At 46.0% G+C, this 17,728-nt stretch overlaps 1 long non-coding RNA gene and 1 pseudogene across 2 annotated transcripts in view; one reads left to right on the plus strand and one right to left on the minus strand.

Annotated features, from left to right (window-relative positions):
• The window catches only part of LINC02614 (long intergenic non-protein coding RNA 2614), a 58,841-nt gene that overhangs the window by 37,365 nt on the left and 3,748 nt on the right, over positions 1–17,728 (minus strand). Inside the window, exons 2-4 of one of the 2 annotated variants that reach the window (NR_125395.1) lie at positions 10,473–10,565; positions 9,140–9,244; positions 7,472–7,652 (exon numbers count right to left, since the gene is read on the minus strand). This is a non-coding gene — a long non-coding RNA (long intergenic non-protein coding RNA 2614). The remainder of the gene's footprint in view (positions 1–7,471; positions 7,653–9,139; positions 9,245–10,472; positions 10,566–17,728) is intronic. The other variant, NR_125396.1, reaches the window with a different exon arrangement.
• Positions 1–17,728, plus strand: part of ENPP7P4 (ectonucleotide pyrophosphatase/phosphodiesterase 7 pseudogene 4) — a 61,192-nt pseudogene that overhangs the window by 16,379 nt on the left and 27,085 nt on the right.

The raw sequence follows: 17,728 nt of genomic DNA on the forward strand, positions 1-17,728 counted from the left end.
TCACCCTTAGCAGCAAGTCCCACTTTTCTGGGGGAGGGGAAGGAACCCCCTCTTATCTCAGTGCCCCGATCCCTTATTTCTGTGCCCCAACCTCTTATCTCTGTGGCCCGATCCCTTATTTCCATGCCCCAACCTCTTATCTCTGTGACCCAATCCCTTATTTCCACGACCTGACCTCTTATCTCTGCACCCCAACCCCTTATTTCTGTGCCCTGACCTCTTAGCTCTGCATCACAACCCTTTATTTCTGCACACTGACCCCTTTCCCACTTTTCGGGAAGGCAAGAACCCCCCACCCCTTCTCTCTGTGTCTCTACTCTCTCTTTTCTCTAGGCTTGCCTCCTTCACTATGGGCAAGCTTCTGCCCTCCATTCCCCCTTCTTCTCCCCTAGCCTGTGTTAAAAACCTAAAATCTTTTCAACTCACACCTGACCTAAAACCTAAATGCCTTATTTTCTTCCACAATGCCACTTGACCCCAATACAAACTCAACAGTAGTTCCAAATAGCCAGAAAATGGCACTTTCAATTTTTCCAACCTACAAGATCTAGATAATTCTTGTCGTAAAATGGGCAAACGGTCTGAGGTGACTGATGCCCAGGCATTCTTTTACACATCGGTCCCTCCCTAGTCTGTTCCCAGTGCAACTCATCCCAAATCTTCCTTCTTTCCCTCCCACCTGTCCCCTCAGTCCCAACCCCAAGCGTCACTGAGTCTTTGTAATCTTCCTTTTCTACAGACCAATCTGACCTCTCCCCTCCTCACCAGGCCAAGCTAGGCCCCAATTCTTCCTCAGCCTCCGCTCCTCCACCCTATAATCCTTTTATCACCTCCCCTCCTCACACCGGGTCCAGCTTACAGTTTCGTTCCATGACTAGCCCTCCCCAACCTGCCCAGCAATTTCCTCTGAAAAAGGTGGCTGGAGCTAAAGGCATAGTCAAGGTTAATGCTCCTTTTTCTTTATCCCAAATCAGATAGGGTTTAGGCTCTTTTTCATCAAATATAAAAATCCAGCCCAGTTCATGGCTCATTTGGCAGCAACCCTGAGATGCTTTACAGCCCTAGACCCTAAAAGGTCAAAAGGCCGTCTTATTCTCAATATACATTGTATTACCCAATCTGCTCCCAATATTAAATAAAACTCTGAAAATTAAATTCCGGCCCTCAAACCCCACAACAGGACTTAATTAACCTCGCCTTCAAGGTGTACAATAATAGAGTAGAGGCAGCAAAGTAGCAACATATTTCTGAGTTGTAATTCCTTGCCTCCACTGTGAGACAAACCCCAGCCACATCTCCAGCACACAAGAACTTCCAAACGCCTAAAGTGCAGTGGCCAGGTGTTCCTCCAGAACCGCCTCCCCCAGGAGCTTGCTACTAGTGCCAGAAATCTGGCCAAAGAATGCCCACAACCCGGGATTCCTCCTAAGCCATGTCCCATCTGTGTGGGACCCCACTAGAAATTGGACTGTTCAACTCACCTGACAGCCACTCCCAGAGCCCCTGGAACTCTGGCCCAAGGCTCTCTGACTGACTCCTTCCCAGATCTTCTTGGCTTAGCAGCTGAAGACTGACACTGCCTGATCGATCACTTCGGAAGCCTACAGGACCATCACAGATGCTCTAGGTAACTCTCACAGTGGAGGGTAAGTCCGTCCCCTTCTTAATCAATATGGAGGCTACCCACTCCACATTACCTTCTTTTCAAGGGCCTGTTTCCCTTGCCTCCATAACTGTTGTGGTTATTGACAGCCAGGCTTCTAAACCTCTTAAAACTCCCCAACTCTGGTGCCAACTTAGACAATACTCTTTTAAGCACTCCTTTTTAGTTATCCCCACCTGCCCAGTTCCCTTATTAGGCTGAGACACTTTAACTAAATTATCTGCTTCCCTGACTATTCCTGGACTATAGCTACATCTCATTGCCACCCACCTTAACCCACAAGTAGAAGATACCTCTACTCCCTCCTTGGCGACCGATCATGCACCCCTTACCATCTCATTAAAACCTAATCACCCTTACCCCGCTCAATGCCAATATCCCATCCCACAGCATGCTTTGAAAGGATTAAAGCCTGTTATCACTTGCCTGCTACAGCATAGCCTTTTAAAGCCTATAAACTCTCCTTACAATTCCCCCATTTTACCTGTCCTAAAACCATCCACCCCATGGTGCCAAATGCATATACTCTCCTATCCTCAATTCCTCCCTCCACAACCCATTATTCTGTTCTGGATCTCAAACATGCTTTCTTTACTATTCCTTTGCACCCTTCATCCCAGCCTCTCTTTGCTTTCACTTGGACTGACCCTGACACCCATCAGGCTCAGCAAATTACCTGGGCTGTACTGCCGCAGAGCTTCACAGACAGCCCCTATTACTTCAGTCAAGGCCAAATTTCTTCCTTATCTATTACCTATCTCAGCATAATTCTCATAAAAACACACATGCTCTCCCTGCCGATCGTGTCCAACTAATCTCTCAAACCCCAACCCCAGCTACAAAACAACAACTCCTTTCCTTCCTGGGCATGGTTGGATACTTTTGCCTTTAGATACCTGGTATTGCCACCCTAACAAAACCATTATATAAACTCAAAAAAGGAAACCTAGCTTACTCCATAGATCCTAAATCCTTTCCCCACTCCTCTTTCAGTTCCTTGAAGACAGCTTTAAAGACTGCCCCTACCCTAGCTCTCCCTGACTCATCCCAACCCTTTTCATTACACACAGCCAAAGTGCAGCGCTGTGCAGTCGAAATTCTTACACAAGGACCAGGATTGCTTCCTGTAGCCTTTTTGTCCAAACAACTTGACCTTACTGTTTTAGGCTGGCCATTATGTCTCTGTGCAGTGGCTGCTGCTGCCCTAATACTTTTAGAGGTCGTTAAAATCACAAACTATGCTCAACTCACTCTCTACAGCTCTCATAATTTCCAAAATCTATTTTCTTCCTCACACCTGACGCATATACTTTCTGCTCCCTGGCTCCTTCAGCTGTACTCACTCTTTGTTGAGTCTCCCACAATTACCATTGTTCCTGGCCCGGACTTCAATCCAGCCTCTCACATTATTCCTGATACCACACCTGACCCTCATGACTGTATCTCTCTGATCCACCTGACATTCACCCCATTTCCCCACATTTCCTTCTTTCCTGCTTCTCACCCTGATCACACTTAGTTTATTGATGGCAGTTCCACCAGGCCTAATTGCCACACACCAGCAAAGGCAGGCTATCCTATAGTACAAGCCACTAGCCCGCCTCTTAGAACCTCTCATTTCCTTTCCAGCGTGGAAATCTATCCTCAAAGAAATAACTTCTCAGTGTTCCATCTGCTATTCTTTTACTCCTCAGGGATTATTCAGGCCCCCTCCCTTCCCTACACATCAAGCTCAGGGATTTGCCCCCACTCAGGACTGGCAAATTAGCTTTACTCAACGTGCCCTGAGTCAGGAAACTAAAATACCTCTTGGTCTAGGTAGACACTTTCACTGGATAGGTAGAGGCCTTTCCCACAGGGCCTAAGAAAGCCACCACGGTCATTTCTTCCCTTCTGTCAGACATAATTCCTCAGTTTGGCCTTCCCACCTCTATACAATCCAATAGTAGACCGGCCTTTATTAGTCAAATCAGCCAAGCAGTTTTTCAGGCTCTTAGTATTCAGTGAAACCTTTATATCCCTTACAGTCCTCAGTCTTCAGGAAAGGTAGAACAGACTAATGGTCTTTTAAAAACACACCTCACCAATCTCAGCCACCAACTTAAAAAGGACTGGACAATACTTTTACCACTTTCCCTTCTCAGAATTCAAGCCTGTCCTTGGAATGCTACAAGGTACAGCCCATTTAAGCTCCTGTATAGATGCTCCTTTTTATTAGGCCCCAGTCTCATTCCAGACACCACACCAACTTGGAATGTGCCCCAAAAAACTTGTCATCCCTACTATCTTCTCTCTAGTCATACTCCTATTCACCGTTCTCAACTACTCATACATGCCCTGCTCTTGTTTACACTGCCAGTTTACACTGTTTCTCCAAGCCATCGCAGCTGATAGCTCCTGGTGCTATGCCCAAACCGCCACTCTTAACTCTTAAATAATCTTTGCTGGCAAGGCTATGCTGAACCTCCTTAGGCACTCTCTAATTAGATGTCCTAGGTCCTCCCAATTCTTAGTCCTTTAATACCTGCTTTTCTCCTTCTCTTATTCTGTTTAGTTTTTAATTCATACAAAACTGTATCCAAGCCATCATCAATAATTCTAAATGACAAATGTTTCTTCTAACAACCCCACAATATCACCCCTTACCACAAAATATTCCTTCAGCTTCATCTCTCCCACTCTAGGTTCCAACGCTGCCTCTAATCCCGCTCAAAGCAGCCCTGAGAAACATCGCCCATTACTTCTCCATACCATCCCCAAAAATTTTCGCCGTCCCAACACTTTACCACTATTTCGTTTTATTTTTCCTGTTAATATAAGAAGACAGGAACGTCAGGCCTCTGAGCCCAAGCTAAGCCATCATATCCCCTGTGACCTGCACGTACACATCCAGATGGCCGGTTCCTGCCTTAACTGATGACATTCCACCACAAAATAAATGAAAATGGCCTGTTCCTGCCTTAACTGATGACATTATCTTGTGAAATTCCTTCTCCTGGCTCATCCTGGCTCAAAAGCTCCCCTACTGAGCACCTTGTGACCCCCACCACTCCTGCCTGCCAGAGAACAACCCCTTTTTCCTTTACCTACCCAAATCCTATAAAACAGCCCCACCCCTATCTCCCTTCACTGACTCTCTTTTTGGACTCAGCCTGCCTGCACCCTGGTGAAATAAACAGCTTTATTGCTCACACAAAGCCTGTTTGGTGGTCTCTTCACACGGATGCACGTGAAAAACAGTGTCCTTCATTTTTCTTTTTTTTTTTTGAGATGGAGTTTCACTCTTGTTGCCCAGGCTGGAGTGCAATGGCATGACCTCACCTCACTGCCACCTCCTCCTCCTGGGTTCAAGCAACTCTTCTGCCTCAGCCTCCCCAGTAGCTGGGATTGCAGGCACGCGCCACCATGCCCGGCTAATTTTGTATTTTTAGTAGAGATGGGGTTTCTCCATGTTGGTCAGGCTGGTCTCGAAGTCCTGACCTCAGGTGATCCACTCACCTCAGCCTCCCAAAGTGCTGGGATTACAGGCATGAGCCACTGTGCCCGGACAAAAGTGTCCTCTTATAAGGACATTTGTCTTTAGATGTACAGCCTACCTAAAATACTCCAGGAGAATCTCATCTCAAGATCCTTAACTTAATTACATCTGCAAAGACCCTTTTTCCAAATAATGCCACCTCCACAGATTCTAGGCACAAGGATCTGGATATATCTTGTGCAAAGCCACCATTCAGCTCACTACACTAGAAAGAAGAAAAACAACGAAGTAACAAAAGGCGCAGAAGAAAGAACAGATGCAGCTTGTGTGGCAGTGGCCATCAAGGCAGGCTGGGGTAAAACTGTGTCAGCAGAACCCCAAAAGTCCAACAATGATAGACTGGATTAAGAAAATGTGGCACATATACGCCATGGAATACTATGCAGCCATAAAAAATGATGAGTTCATGTCCTTTGTAGGGACATGGATGAAATTGGAAATCATCATTCTCAGTAAACTATCGCAAGAACAAAAAACCAAACACCATATATTCTCACTCATAGGTGGAAATTGAACAATGAGATCACATGGACACATGAAGGGGAATACCACACTCTGGGGACTGTGGTGGGGTGGGGGGAGGGGGGAGGGATAGCATTGGGAGATATACCTAAGGCTAGATGACGAGTTAGTGGGTGCAGCACACCAGCATGGCACATGTATACATATGTAACTAACCTGCACAAAGTGCACATGTACCCTAAAACTTAAAGTATTAAAAAAAAAAAAAAAAAAGAAGGGGTGGGAAGAGAGATAGCCCATTCTCTGTTGGCCTAATTCCTAAGGAATCGTGCCTCTGCCTTCGGGCCATTCTCAAGTCTTGTTCAAGGATAAAATGATTTATTCATGGCCATAATTAAAAATCAATGCCAACAGAAGCAGCGTCAGCATTTTTCATTTGTACTTACACATGAGTGAGAGCAGTTTAGGGAAACGGGTGCCTTCAGGTTCTGTTTTCTCCATCTAGAAAAGGGCTGCCTTCATGGAATGCTGGTGCTGGGGAGAAGCCTCACGTCTATAGCAGGACTTGATTGTTTTAAATTCCGATTGGTACACGGAGCTACTCGTCCTCATTTCAAGCACTTCTGGTTTGTTCTGGGTTCAGTGGGTGAGCAATGAGTAGAACTCTGGGGAGGAGGATTTGGGGCGAGCGTGGTTTTGATACCCAGAGAGAGCTGTTTTTCCATCACTGTCTTGACTGTGATTCAGAATGGGCTTCTCCGCTCAAGATGGGAGTACTGGGCTGATTTAAGGTGGGTGATTGACTTGTTTTGGTGGCTATTTTTATACTAGCTGGTTAACGAGCTATTTTCTTCATTAGTTTCAGGCATGTGAGCTTAATGAAGCACTGGACCTCCCAAATTACAAGGAAAATAAAGATATAGCTTATATGGTAGTTTCGAAGGAGTTAGTGAACAAACACAGTAGGGCCACAAATTATTGTTGAAGACATGAATGCATGAAAGTGTATCTATGTCCAAATGGACTCTCTGCAACCATACTGTTCCACCTGAAAATTAGTAGATCGAAATTCAGCAAATGCTTGGACAGGGGATACTCTCAGAAGTATTCCGACTAAATAGCTTGGTTTCTTTTCATATCACTAAAGTAATTTCTTCCCAAATTGATTCTGGACTAAATCTTATGATACCTACTTGTTCTGATTGTACTTAGCCACCTGCAAATAAGGTGGGGGCAGTGGTAAGAGGAGCTGTTGAATGAAATTAAACATTTGTTGAATGCTTACTGAGGATAAAGCCCTGTGCTTTGTGCCAGGAAGATTCCAGAATAAATGAGGCACAGACCTACTCTCAGGAAGCTTTTGCAAACTAATGGAGAAAACACATCTGCAGGCAATGACTTATGGTATAAGAGGAAATGGGGCCAGGTAGGGTGACTCACACCTGTAATCTCAGCACTTTAGGAGGCCAAGGTAGGTGGATCACTTGAGGTCAGGAGTTCAAGACCAGCCTGGCCAACATGGCGAAACCCTGTCTCTATTAAAAATCCAAAAAAAAAAAAAAAAAAAAAAAAAGAGAGAGAGGCTTGATGGTGTGCACCCGCAATCCCAGCTACTTGGGAGGCTGAGGCACAAGAATCACTTAAACCTGGGAGGTGGAGATTGTAGTGAGCCGAGATCCCACCACTGCACTCCAGCCTAGGAGACAGAGTGAGACTCTGTCAAAAAAAAAAAAAAAAAAAAAGGAAATAAGATTGATGTTGAATGGGAAATCTAAGCAGGATGGAATGTCAGGAGAGCGCCCACTTGCCCAGCTCCAATAACACTTTTGACAGCCATGACAATATTGCAGGGACGCCCATTCCTCATGGTATCTGAAGCCCCATGAAGGCTTGCATCTGGAGGCTGGTTCAGTCTTGACTTTAAGATCAGGGGATACAAGGAATGATTTTCATCTATCCCAAGCCAATAGTCCAGCCAAAAATCTAAGTCTGAGATGATGAGAAAAAGCAAGTCATCAACCATGTCAGCCATTTCATCATCATCATCATCATCATCATCATCATCATCATCAAAAACAAAAGACAGACCTGTACCCATCTAGTGTGCCTGGCTCTTGTCTTAGTTCAAAATATAGAAGTAAATTCTATGGCCAGTGAACAATGACCAAAATAGCTCTCATCACTTTTGTCTGCCACCATGTAAGATGTGCCTTTTGCCTTCCACCATGATTTGGAGGCTTCTTCAGCCACATGGAACTGTGAGCCCATTAAATCTCTTTTTCTTTAAAATTACCCAGTCTTGAGTAATAAAATAGTGGTTTGTCCACGACATCAATGAATGATGCTGTCACTTGTTCCAAACGCATATCATTTAAGAGGTTTGGATAAACAACAACCTAAAATAAATAAGCACTAAGCAAACTCAGGGCTACATAATCCCTGTGGTGAGGTAACTGACAATGGGTACAACTGGGACAGTTTATTGTTAAATCACATCTATCTGCATGTGCCCAAGCAGTGAGATACTTCGTTTTAATCCTAAAAAATCATGGTGCACATTTACTCCTGCCTTCCAACCGGGCTCCAACGTCACCTCCTCAGAGAAGCCCTCTTTTCTGTGCTTCCACTCTGCTTTTTTTCAACATTTAGTAGAGCATCATTCACCATCCATATCTGGGAACAATGATTGTAAGAAACAAATCCATTTGCATGAGCTGGAGGGAAAGGAGCATACCTTATCTCTAACAGGCAAACTCATGAGCACGAGAAATAAATGAGAGGCCATGAGAGAATGGAAACAGCAGTTACAGAAACCAAAATGCCTCTTTCTGGCTCTCAGAAGCCCATGGTCTCCTTTTTTTTTGTTTTTGTTTTTGAGACGCAGTCTTGCTCTGTCGCCCAGGCTGGAGTGCAGTAGTGCGATCTCAGCTCACTGCAAGCTCCACCTCCCGGGGTTCATGCCATTCTCCCGCCTCAGCCTCCCAACTAGCTGGGACTACAGACACCCGCCACCACACCTGGCTAATTTTTTGTATTTTTAGTAGAGATGGCGTTTCACCGTGTGAGCCAGGATGGTCTCGATCTCCTGACCTCATGATCCGCCCATCTTGGCCTCCCAAAGTGCTGGGATTACAAGCTTGAGCCACAGCACCCGGCAGCCCATGGTCTTTCTTTTCAGCCCTGTGGCCTTTCTTATCTCCGCTTCTCTCACTCACAACCAATTTTCCCTTTTTGCTGGTGGCCCATCATGGCAGCCAGCAGAACCCACCACCAGCTGATCAGTCAGTTACTGGATATCTTGGAGAGGGAGGGAGGGAGAGGGAGAGAGGGAGAGGGAGAGAGAGAGAGAGAGAGAATGACAATTGGGCTTCTGGCCAACCAATTGAGTATAGGGAGGGGAAGTACCATGGTACAAATATGGCGCCAAGACCTGCTTTCTAGCATGGCCAATGAGTAGGGAAATTGAGGGAAGGTACCTGCAAACACAGCAGACATCTCAGAACATGCTCTCTGTTCTTAGTTCTCTCTCCTGCCTTCTCCTAGATTGTAAATATCACAAGACAATCTAGAATAGTACCTGGCTGAAAATATTTGAGAAAGAGAAAAAGGAAGAGATTGGATCAAACTCTGGACTTCATGGTTTCTTAAATTCACTCTGCAAGTTTTTGGGTTTTTTGTTTTTTGAGACAGAGTCTCACTCTGCTGCCCAGGCTGGAGTGTAATGGCATAATCTTGGCTCACTGCAACCTCCACCTCCCAGGTTCAAGCAAATCCCCTGCCTCAGCCTCCTGAGTAGCTGGGATTACAGGCACGCACTGCTACACCAGTTAATTTTTGTATTTTTAGTAGAGATGGGGTTTCATCATGTTGGCCAGGCTGGTCTCGAAATCTTGACCTCGTGATCCACCCACCTCAGCCTCCCAAAGTGCTGGGATTACATGTGTGAGCCACCATGCCTGGCTGACTCTGCAAGTATTTAAGTGAATGAATGTCAGTCCCTGAGAATCAGAAGAAAGGCATTAAATCTCCGTTACGTTTAATCCTGGTCAGCAGCTGTGGGGTGTCCTGGGTTTGGGATCAGTGGGATGAGGAACAAGCAGGTTCTCCAAACCACCACTCAGGGAGGGGAGGTGTTAACTAGGCCAAAGATGATGGGCAGGGTACGTGCCTGGGTTTCAAACAGCTTATGCCAGGCCGAAAAACCGACGCTGAAGCAGAAACTGTATTAAGCAGATTGATGACACAATGGAGGGGGTCAAAAAGTTTAATATTGCTAAGAAGAATACAAATATTGATTATGCAATATGATATTGTTTCACACCATCTCCTGCTACATGCCAGGTTTCCTTTACCATGAGATAGAGGAGACTTGTGGATCTGACCTAATCCTCCAAATTGTAAGGTCCCTGAGAGTGGGCTCATGACATTCATGTTTTATAAATGTGGCATAAAGGCTCATGCTGGCTGCCATGTGGCCCAATCCCAGTTCGATGCCGCATTCAAAGAGCCATCATTCCAGCATGCAAGCATACTTAAAGGCAATTGAAATGTTTACCGCCGTCCCTCAAGACAAACACCAAAGAAAAACTATTTTCAAAATGCATAGCAACACTTCTTAAAATCTTATTTTCCCATCTCTTTCTCTCTCTCTACCACATTCCCAGGAGTTTCCTAGGAGCAAAACTGTCATAAAGACCCAGGAGCAAAATGATTAATGACTTCACTATATCTGATTCTGATTTAGTTGGTTTAGAGTGGTGTCCTCGCATAAGTATTTTTTAATATCTTGCTGGGCACAGTGGCACACACCTGTAGTCTCAGCTACTCGGGAGACTGAGGCAGAAGAATCATTTGAACCCAGGAGTTTGAGTCCAGCCTGGGCAACACAACAAGACCCTGTCTCTGAAAAAAAAAAAAAAAAAAAAGCAAAAACAAATCTCTCTCAGCTGCAGTCAGGGTTGATAACTAGTTGATCAAATAATTGTGGTAGACAACCTTTGCAATAGACCTTAATATTCCCACCTCCTGGTGTTATTCATTGTGGAATCTGTCTTAGCTAGTCCTCAATTGGGTCTGGTATCCAGGCCCCACCTTGAGAGGCTAGTCCCACCTCCTACCCCACACATGGTTTTATCCTTACTTTCAAGACTGGCCTAAAAATGTAAAATGTACTTGTTTTGACCTTGTTTCCAATGAAATAACTATTCTAAACACTCATTTAGGATGGTTGGGGAAATTTGAAGACTGGCTAAATATTGAAGATATTTGCTTCAAAATAACCCAGCTTGGTAATGAGATGATGGCGGCTGAGGCTGGTGATAGGCACAGAGAGCTTCATTATCAAATAGAAACAAGTTGGAAAAAACAGAATCTTTTCCATAATAAAAATGTAAGGTAAACACAAAAATGTATTGAGTGCATAAAAAGAATCTATGGTCTCACAGACATTAGCTTAGAATTTGAACATCAAAAATAAAAGTGATGGCCAGGTGCAGTGGCTGATTCCTGTAATCCCAGCACTTTGGGAGACCGAGGTGTGTGGATCACTTGAGCCCAGGAATTTGAGACCAGCCTGAGCAACATAGTGAGACCCCCATCTCTAAAATAAATAAATATAAATAAAAGTCACTAGAATTGATTATAGAACATCAACTCTATTTGAGTGTATAAAGATTACTGGTGGAGGGGGGCAATGGGGAGAAGGAGAAAGAGAATATATTTGTGACCTAGATTATTTTCCTTAGTTTTGAGGTAATCTTTGGGTCTCCTGGGTCTTCTAGCCCAGTATTTATTTTTATTTATTTTATTTTTTACTTTTTTAGATGGAGTCTCACTCTGTCACCAGACTGGAGTGCAGTGGTGCGATCTCGGGCCACTGCAACTTCCGCCTCCCAGGTTCAATCGATTCTCCTGTCTCAGCTCCCCATGTAGCTGGGACTACAGGTATCTGCCACTGCACCTGGCTAATTTTTGTATCTTTTGTAGAGATGGTGTTTCACCATGTTGGTCCAGGCTGGTCTCGAACTCCTGACCTCAAGTGATCCACCCACCTTGGCCTCCCAAAATACAAGGATTACAGGCATTAGCCACCACACCCTGCCTATTTTCCTTAGTTTTCAAAGAACCTTTGTGTCCCCTGGGTGTTCTAGCCCAGTATATCTCAAACTTTGCTGCACTGAGGACCTTGTTGAAATGCATGTTCTCAGCTGGGAGGCTCAGTGGGCCAGCAAATCTGCATTGGTTTAGGAAGCTCACCCTGAGTAGCAAGCTTCAGTGAGGACCAGGCAGACCCCTGCCTGCCAACCCCCTCTCAGCTGGGCTTAACTCTGGCTCTCTCCTGACAGGGTTCCTCCCCTCAAAATAGGAGCTATTTTCAAAAAGTCTCTTGGAAAAAAGGCCCTGTTTTAAAATTGGGGTGTTTACCACAGTGTTTTAAGACCTTTGCCCAGACCCCCGCAACCAACTTAGAATGGACATTTTTACTTTTGAAGGTCCCACTCCACACCATATTAAATTCATTAAAATCAACCTCCATTACAGGCATATCTCAGGCATCATGCCCTCAGAACGGAGTGGCAGCTAACCACTTGACAATGTTGCAAAGCATTAAACATGCATTCATTTCAGGCTTGCAGTTTTCACATTTAGGAGCCAATTGTCTTAGGTCTAAAGCATTCACGTTCAAGCACTGTTATGGGCCCCAGACACTATGCTTCCCAGCCTTAATGGCCTCTGCTATGCTGGTTCCTACCGCCCCACCCCTGGGTTCTGGCCGGCTAGCCCACACCACCTCACTGCTCCCCCATTCAAGTGTGCCTTAGATGTGTGCTTTCCAAACTCATCTACACTTTAGGATCACCTGGGATTTTCTAAGTGTTCTAAAACCCAGGCCACACCCCACCCCAGAATAACTAAACCTCAACCTCTGGAATGGGACATAGCATCTGTTTTTTGTTTTTTGTTCTGTTTGGTTTTTGAGACAGAGCCTCACTCTGTTACCCAGGCTGGAGTGCAGGGGCACAATCATAGCTCGCTACAGCCTCCAACTCCTGGGCTCAAGCAACCCTCCCACTTCAACCTCCAGGGTAGCTGGGATCACAGGCGGGCACCACTATGCCTGGCTAATTTTTTAATTTTTTATAGCGACAGTATCTCCCTATGTTCTCCAGGCTGGTCTCAAACTCCTGGGCTCAAGTGATCCTCCCGCCTCAGCATCCCAAATTGCTGGGATCACAGGCCTGAGCTACCATGCCTGGCCATCAGCATCTGTATTTTTTGAAGCACAGACGAGTTTGGGAACTACTGCCCTAGACTGAGCTCGGTTTCCTAGCCCTGTCTGACGGTAGGATTCTGCTGGGCTGCTTCTGAAAACAGAGCTCCCCAGGCTCCTTCCCAGGTAATTCTGATTCATTAGGTCCTTGGTGGGCTCTGGAATGTGTATTTTTTACCAGGTCCCTCTGGGCGAATCAGGCTAAAGCCATTTTGGGATCTGAGACCTTGGCGCTCATTCCCCAGCTTCCCTCCTAACCCAGTTCCCAGCTTGGCCCACCTCACCCAGGCTATGTCACGTCTGACTTCGCAGATTACACCTGAGAGGGAAGGCCCAGCCATCACGATGTGAGAACATTTTACAATGACGAGGAAATGCCAAACACATTTTAAAACTCATTCAGGATTAGCGTTCACCTTAAACTTGAGACTCGGAGAACGGGCTGGCAACGTGCTGTGCACAACCCTTAGTGCTCTTCTGCGACTAATATTTGGATAATTGATTGTTGGAAGCTCAGGAAGTCTCTCTCTCTCTCCAAGGATTGAAGTTAACTTCCTTATTTCTGAAGTAGGGAAGAAAATGAGGATGCCCTGCCTTTCGCTAGACTGAATACTGTCCTCCAAAAATTCACATTCACCAGGAATCCCAGAATGTGACTTTATTAGAAAATAGGGGTGGGGCATGGTGGCTCATGCCTGTAATCTTAGCACTTTGGGAGGCTGAGGCAGAAGGATCACTTGAGGTCAGGAGTTCGAGACCAGCCTGGCTAGCATGGCAAAACTCTGTCTCTACTAAAAGCATAAAAATTAGCTAGACATGGTGGCATGCACCTGTAACCCTAGCTACTTTGGAGGCTGAGGCTGAAGAATCACTTGAACCCAGGAGGCAGAGTTGCAGCAAGCTGAGATTGTGCCACTGAACTCCAGCCTGGGCAACAGAGCAAGACTCCATCTCAAAAAAAGAAAAGAAAATAGGGTCACTGCAGATATAATTACAAAGAAGTCATATTGGAATAGCGTGGACCTTAAATGGAGTAATAATGACATCCTCACGGGAAGAGAAGAAGAGACAGAGACACACAGGGGAGAAGGCCACATGAGAATGAAGGAAGAGAATGGAATGATGTGGCCACAAGCCAAGGATTGCCAGCAGCCACCAGAAGCCACAAGAGGCAAGGAAGGATTCATCCCTAGAGCCTTCAGAGGGAGCATGACCCTGCCGGGTTTCAGACATCAAGCTTCCAGAACTGGAGAGAATGACTTTCTGGTGTCCTGAGCCACCCATTTGGGGAACTTTGTTAGAACAGCCACAGCCAGCTCATGTGCTCCTGAATGCATTTCAGGCATTAATAAGCACTGTCTTGGCCGGGCAGGGTGGCTCACCCCTGTAATCCCAGCACCTTGGGAGGCTGAGGTGGGTAGATCACCTGAGGTCAAGAGCTCGAGATCAGCCTGACCAACATGGAGAGACCCCATCTCTACTAAAAATACAAAAATTAGCTGGGCGTGGTGTTGTGCACCTGTAATCCCAGCTACTTGGGAGGCTGAGGCAAGAGAATCTCTTGAACCCTGGAGGCAGAGGTTTCAGTGAGCTGAGATTGCGCCATTGCACTCCAGCCTGGGCAACAAGAGCGAAACTCCATCTCAAAAAAAAATAATAAGTACTGTCTTGACTGTGGTCATCAAAAATATTTGATTAAGGATTAGCTAGAAAGCCTGACCCTTTCACAGATGGACAGAGGGGCCAAAAGAAAATAGATTGTTTGCACTGGGGCAAGAAGGATAAGAATCCTATGGAAAAAAAAAAAAAGAGGGATTGGTTTAGTGAGTGCTGGGGAGAGGCATTTGTTTTCTTGCTTAAAAAAGAAACACAGGTTGGGTGCGGTGGCTCAAGCCTTAATCCCAGCACTCTGGGAGGCCAAGGTGGGTGGATCACCTAAGGTCAGGAGTTCGAGACCAGCCTGGCCAACACTGTGAAACCCCATCTCTACTAAAAAGCCAAAAAAAAAAAAAAAAAGAAAGAAAGAAAGAAAGAAAGCAATTAGCCAGGCATGGTTGTGGGTGCCTGTAATCCCAGCTACTTGGGAGGCTGAGGCAGAGAATCACTTGAACCTGGGAGGCGGAGGTTGCAGTGAGCCAAGATGGCTTCATTGCACTCCAGCCTAGACAACAAGAGTGAAACTCTGTCTCAAACAAAAAAAAAAGAAAGTAAAAAACATAGTTTTAAGTCCACTCAGTGGAGTTTAAAAATACATTCCCATTGTGCAGTGCTTTTGGAATCTTTTCTAAACTTCTGTTGCACATGATCTAATTTGATCTTCATAGCAACTCCCTGAGGTGGATAGGGCAGGCCTTTCTGAACACCTATTTTCTAGTTTGCATTAAAAGAACGGAATTGGCTGGGACCAGTGGCTCATGCCTATAATCCCAGCACTTTGTGATACAGAAGGGAAGTGATCGGAAGGGAAGAATGTGGTCCCTTTAAATGATATGGAAGTGAAGAAGGGAAGTACTGGGTAGAGGAGGGTGTTGTCGCTGGCTAGTGCTCCACCCAGGGCCTGTGCCCACGGACCTAGGTGAGGATGGGGATTTTTGTTTTCCTGCCCAAATGTTGCATTTCCCAAGACCACCCTGGCTGCCACACCCCCATTCTGTGCCTATAAAAACCCTGAGACCCTAGCAGGCAGACACACAGGCGGCTGGACTTCGAGAGGAGCACATCAGTGGAGGAACACATGGGTGCTGCACGTCAAGAGGAACACACCAATAGGCACCGGCACACTGCAGGCCACTGACTGGCACAACAAGCAGAGTTTGGCTGGGACAGTCAGAGAAGAGTCGGGCCACTCACCTGACTCCAGGGGAAAACCATCTTCCTTCTGGCTCCCCCATCTGCTGAGAGCTACTTCCACTCAATAAAACCTTGCACTCTCACTCCTGTAATCCCAGCACTTTGGGAGGCCAAGGCGGGCAGATCACGAGGTCAGGAGATCGAGACCATCCTGGCTAACAAAGTGAAACCCCATCTCTACTAAAAATACAAAAAAATTAGCCAGGCGTGGTGGCGGGCGCCTGTAGTCCCAGCCACTTGGGAGGCTGAGGCAGGAGAATGGCGTGAACCCAGGAGGCGGAGCTTGCAGTGAGCTGAGATCACACCGCTTCCGGTACACCAAGGCAAGAACCCCAGGACAAAGAGAGCCCTCTGTCTTTGCAATAAGGTGGGGGTCTAATTGAGCCGACTAACACAAGCTACCTACGGACGGCTAAACTAAAAGAGCACCCTGTAACACACGCCCACTGGGGCTTCAACTACAAACATTCACCCCTAGACCCTGCCATGGGGCTCCCTGCCTGTCTGTATGCTCCCCTAGAGGTTTGAGCAGTGGGGCACTGATGAAGCGAACCACACCCCCATCACATGCCCTTCGAGGGGGACAAGGGAACTTTTCCCATTTTATCTGAGGCCAAGGCAGGAGGATCGCTTGAGCCCACGAGTTTGAGACCAGCCTGCGCAACATAGCAAGACCCCATCTCTACAAAAAGAAATAAATAACCAAAAAAAAACCATTAAAAATTAGCCAGGTGTGGTGGCACACACCTGCAGTCCCAGCTACTCAGGACGCTGATGTGGAAGGACTGCTTGAGCCCAGGAGGTTGAGGCTGCAGTGAGCCAATATTGAACCACTGCACTCCAGCCTGGGTGACAGAGTGACAACCTGTTTCAACAAGAACAAAAAGAATGGAAAAAAATAACTTCTCAAATAGCTAGCAGAGGCAGATCTGGTACTCAAATGCAGGGTTTCCAGGTTTCAATTCTACTTTCTAGCAGTATTATGGAGAAACATGATCACTAATACATGAAGGAGAGGAGGTTTCAAGTTCTGGTGAAAAGACGGTAAAGAGAGGAGTTAGTTGACTAGGAGTGACTAGGAATGGGAAGAAAACGCATGACACTATTTACAGGAAAGAAGAAAAATAAGCATAGAGGTGACTGAGCGGACAGAAAGGACTTGGAAGAAGCGTGTTTGGCCCTGTCTCTGCATTTCTTCCCTTGCATTAGTAACTTCCCTGATGACTTGGATGAATCTTCTCTTCCAGGGCATCCAGTGTTCCCTTTCTGTCCACTTCTCCTTTCCCAGGGCCCATACAGTCTGGGAAAGCATGCTCTGCAGGCTTCTCATATCTTTCCTTCCTTAATCAGCCCCTAGCATCTCTATGTAACCCATACACACCTGGAGTTCCACATGCCTCAGTCTTTGCACTGCAGTGAATTCAAAGAAAGGTAGACTCTAGCTGGGCGCAGGGACTCACACCTGTAATCCCAGCACTTTGGGAGGCCGAGGCAGGCGGATCACTTGAGCCCAGGAGTTCAAGACCAGGCCTGGCCAACATGGTGAAACCCCATCTCTACTAAAAACACAAAAATTAGCTTGGCTTGGTGGTGCATGCCCAGCAGTCTCAGCTACTGGGGAGACTGAGGCAGAAGAATTGCTGGAACCCAGAAGGCAGAGGTTGCAGTGAGCTGAGATCACGCCACCGCACTCCAGCAGCCTAGGCAACAGAGCAAGGCCCAGTCTCAAAAAAACACAAAGACGAAACTAAACCAAACCAAACCAAACCAAACAAAACAAAACAAAACAAAACAAACCACACACACACACAAAAACAAAGGTAGACTGCAATAGGAAAAATTCAGTCAAAAGCAATTCAAATAATTACTCAGTCAACCCAGTTCTAGCTCAGTTCTTTATTATATATATAAACTTATTCTGTCTAGATTCCCTAGTTTTCTTTTT

Source organism: Homo sapiens, chromosome 3 (assembly GCF_000001405.40).
Source record: "Homo sapiens chromosome 3, GRCh38.p14 Primary Assembly".
Taxonomy (NCBI): domain Eukaryota; kingdom Metazoa; phylum Chordata; class Mammalia; order Primates; family Hominidae; genus Homo; species Homo sapiens.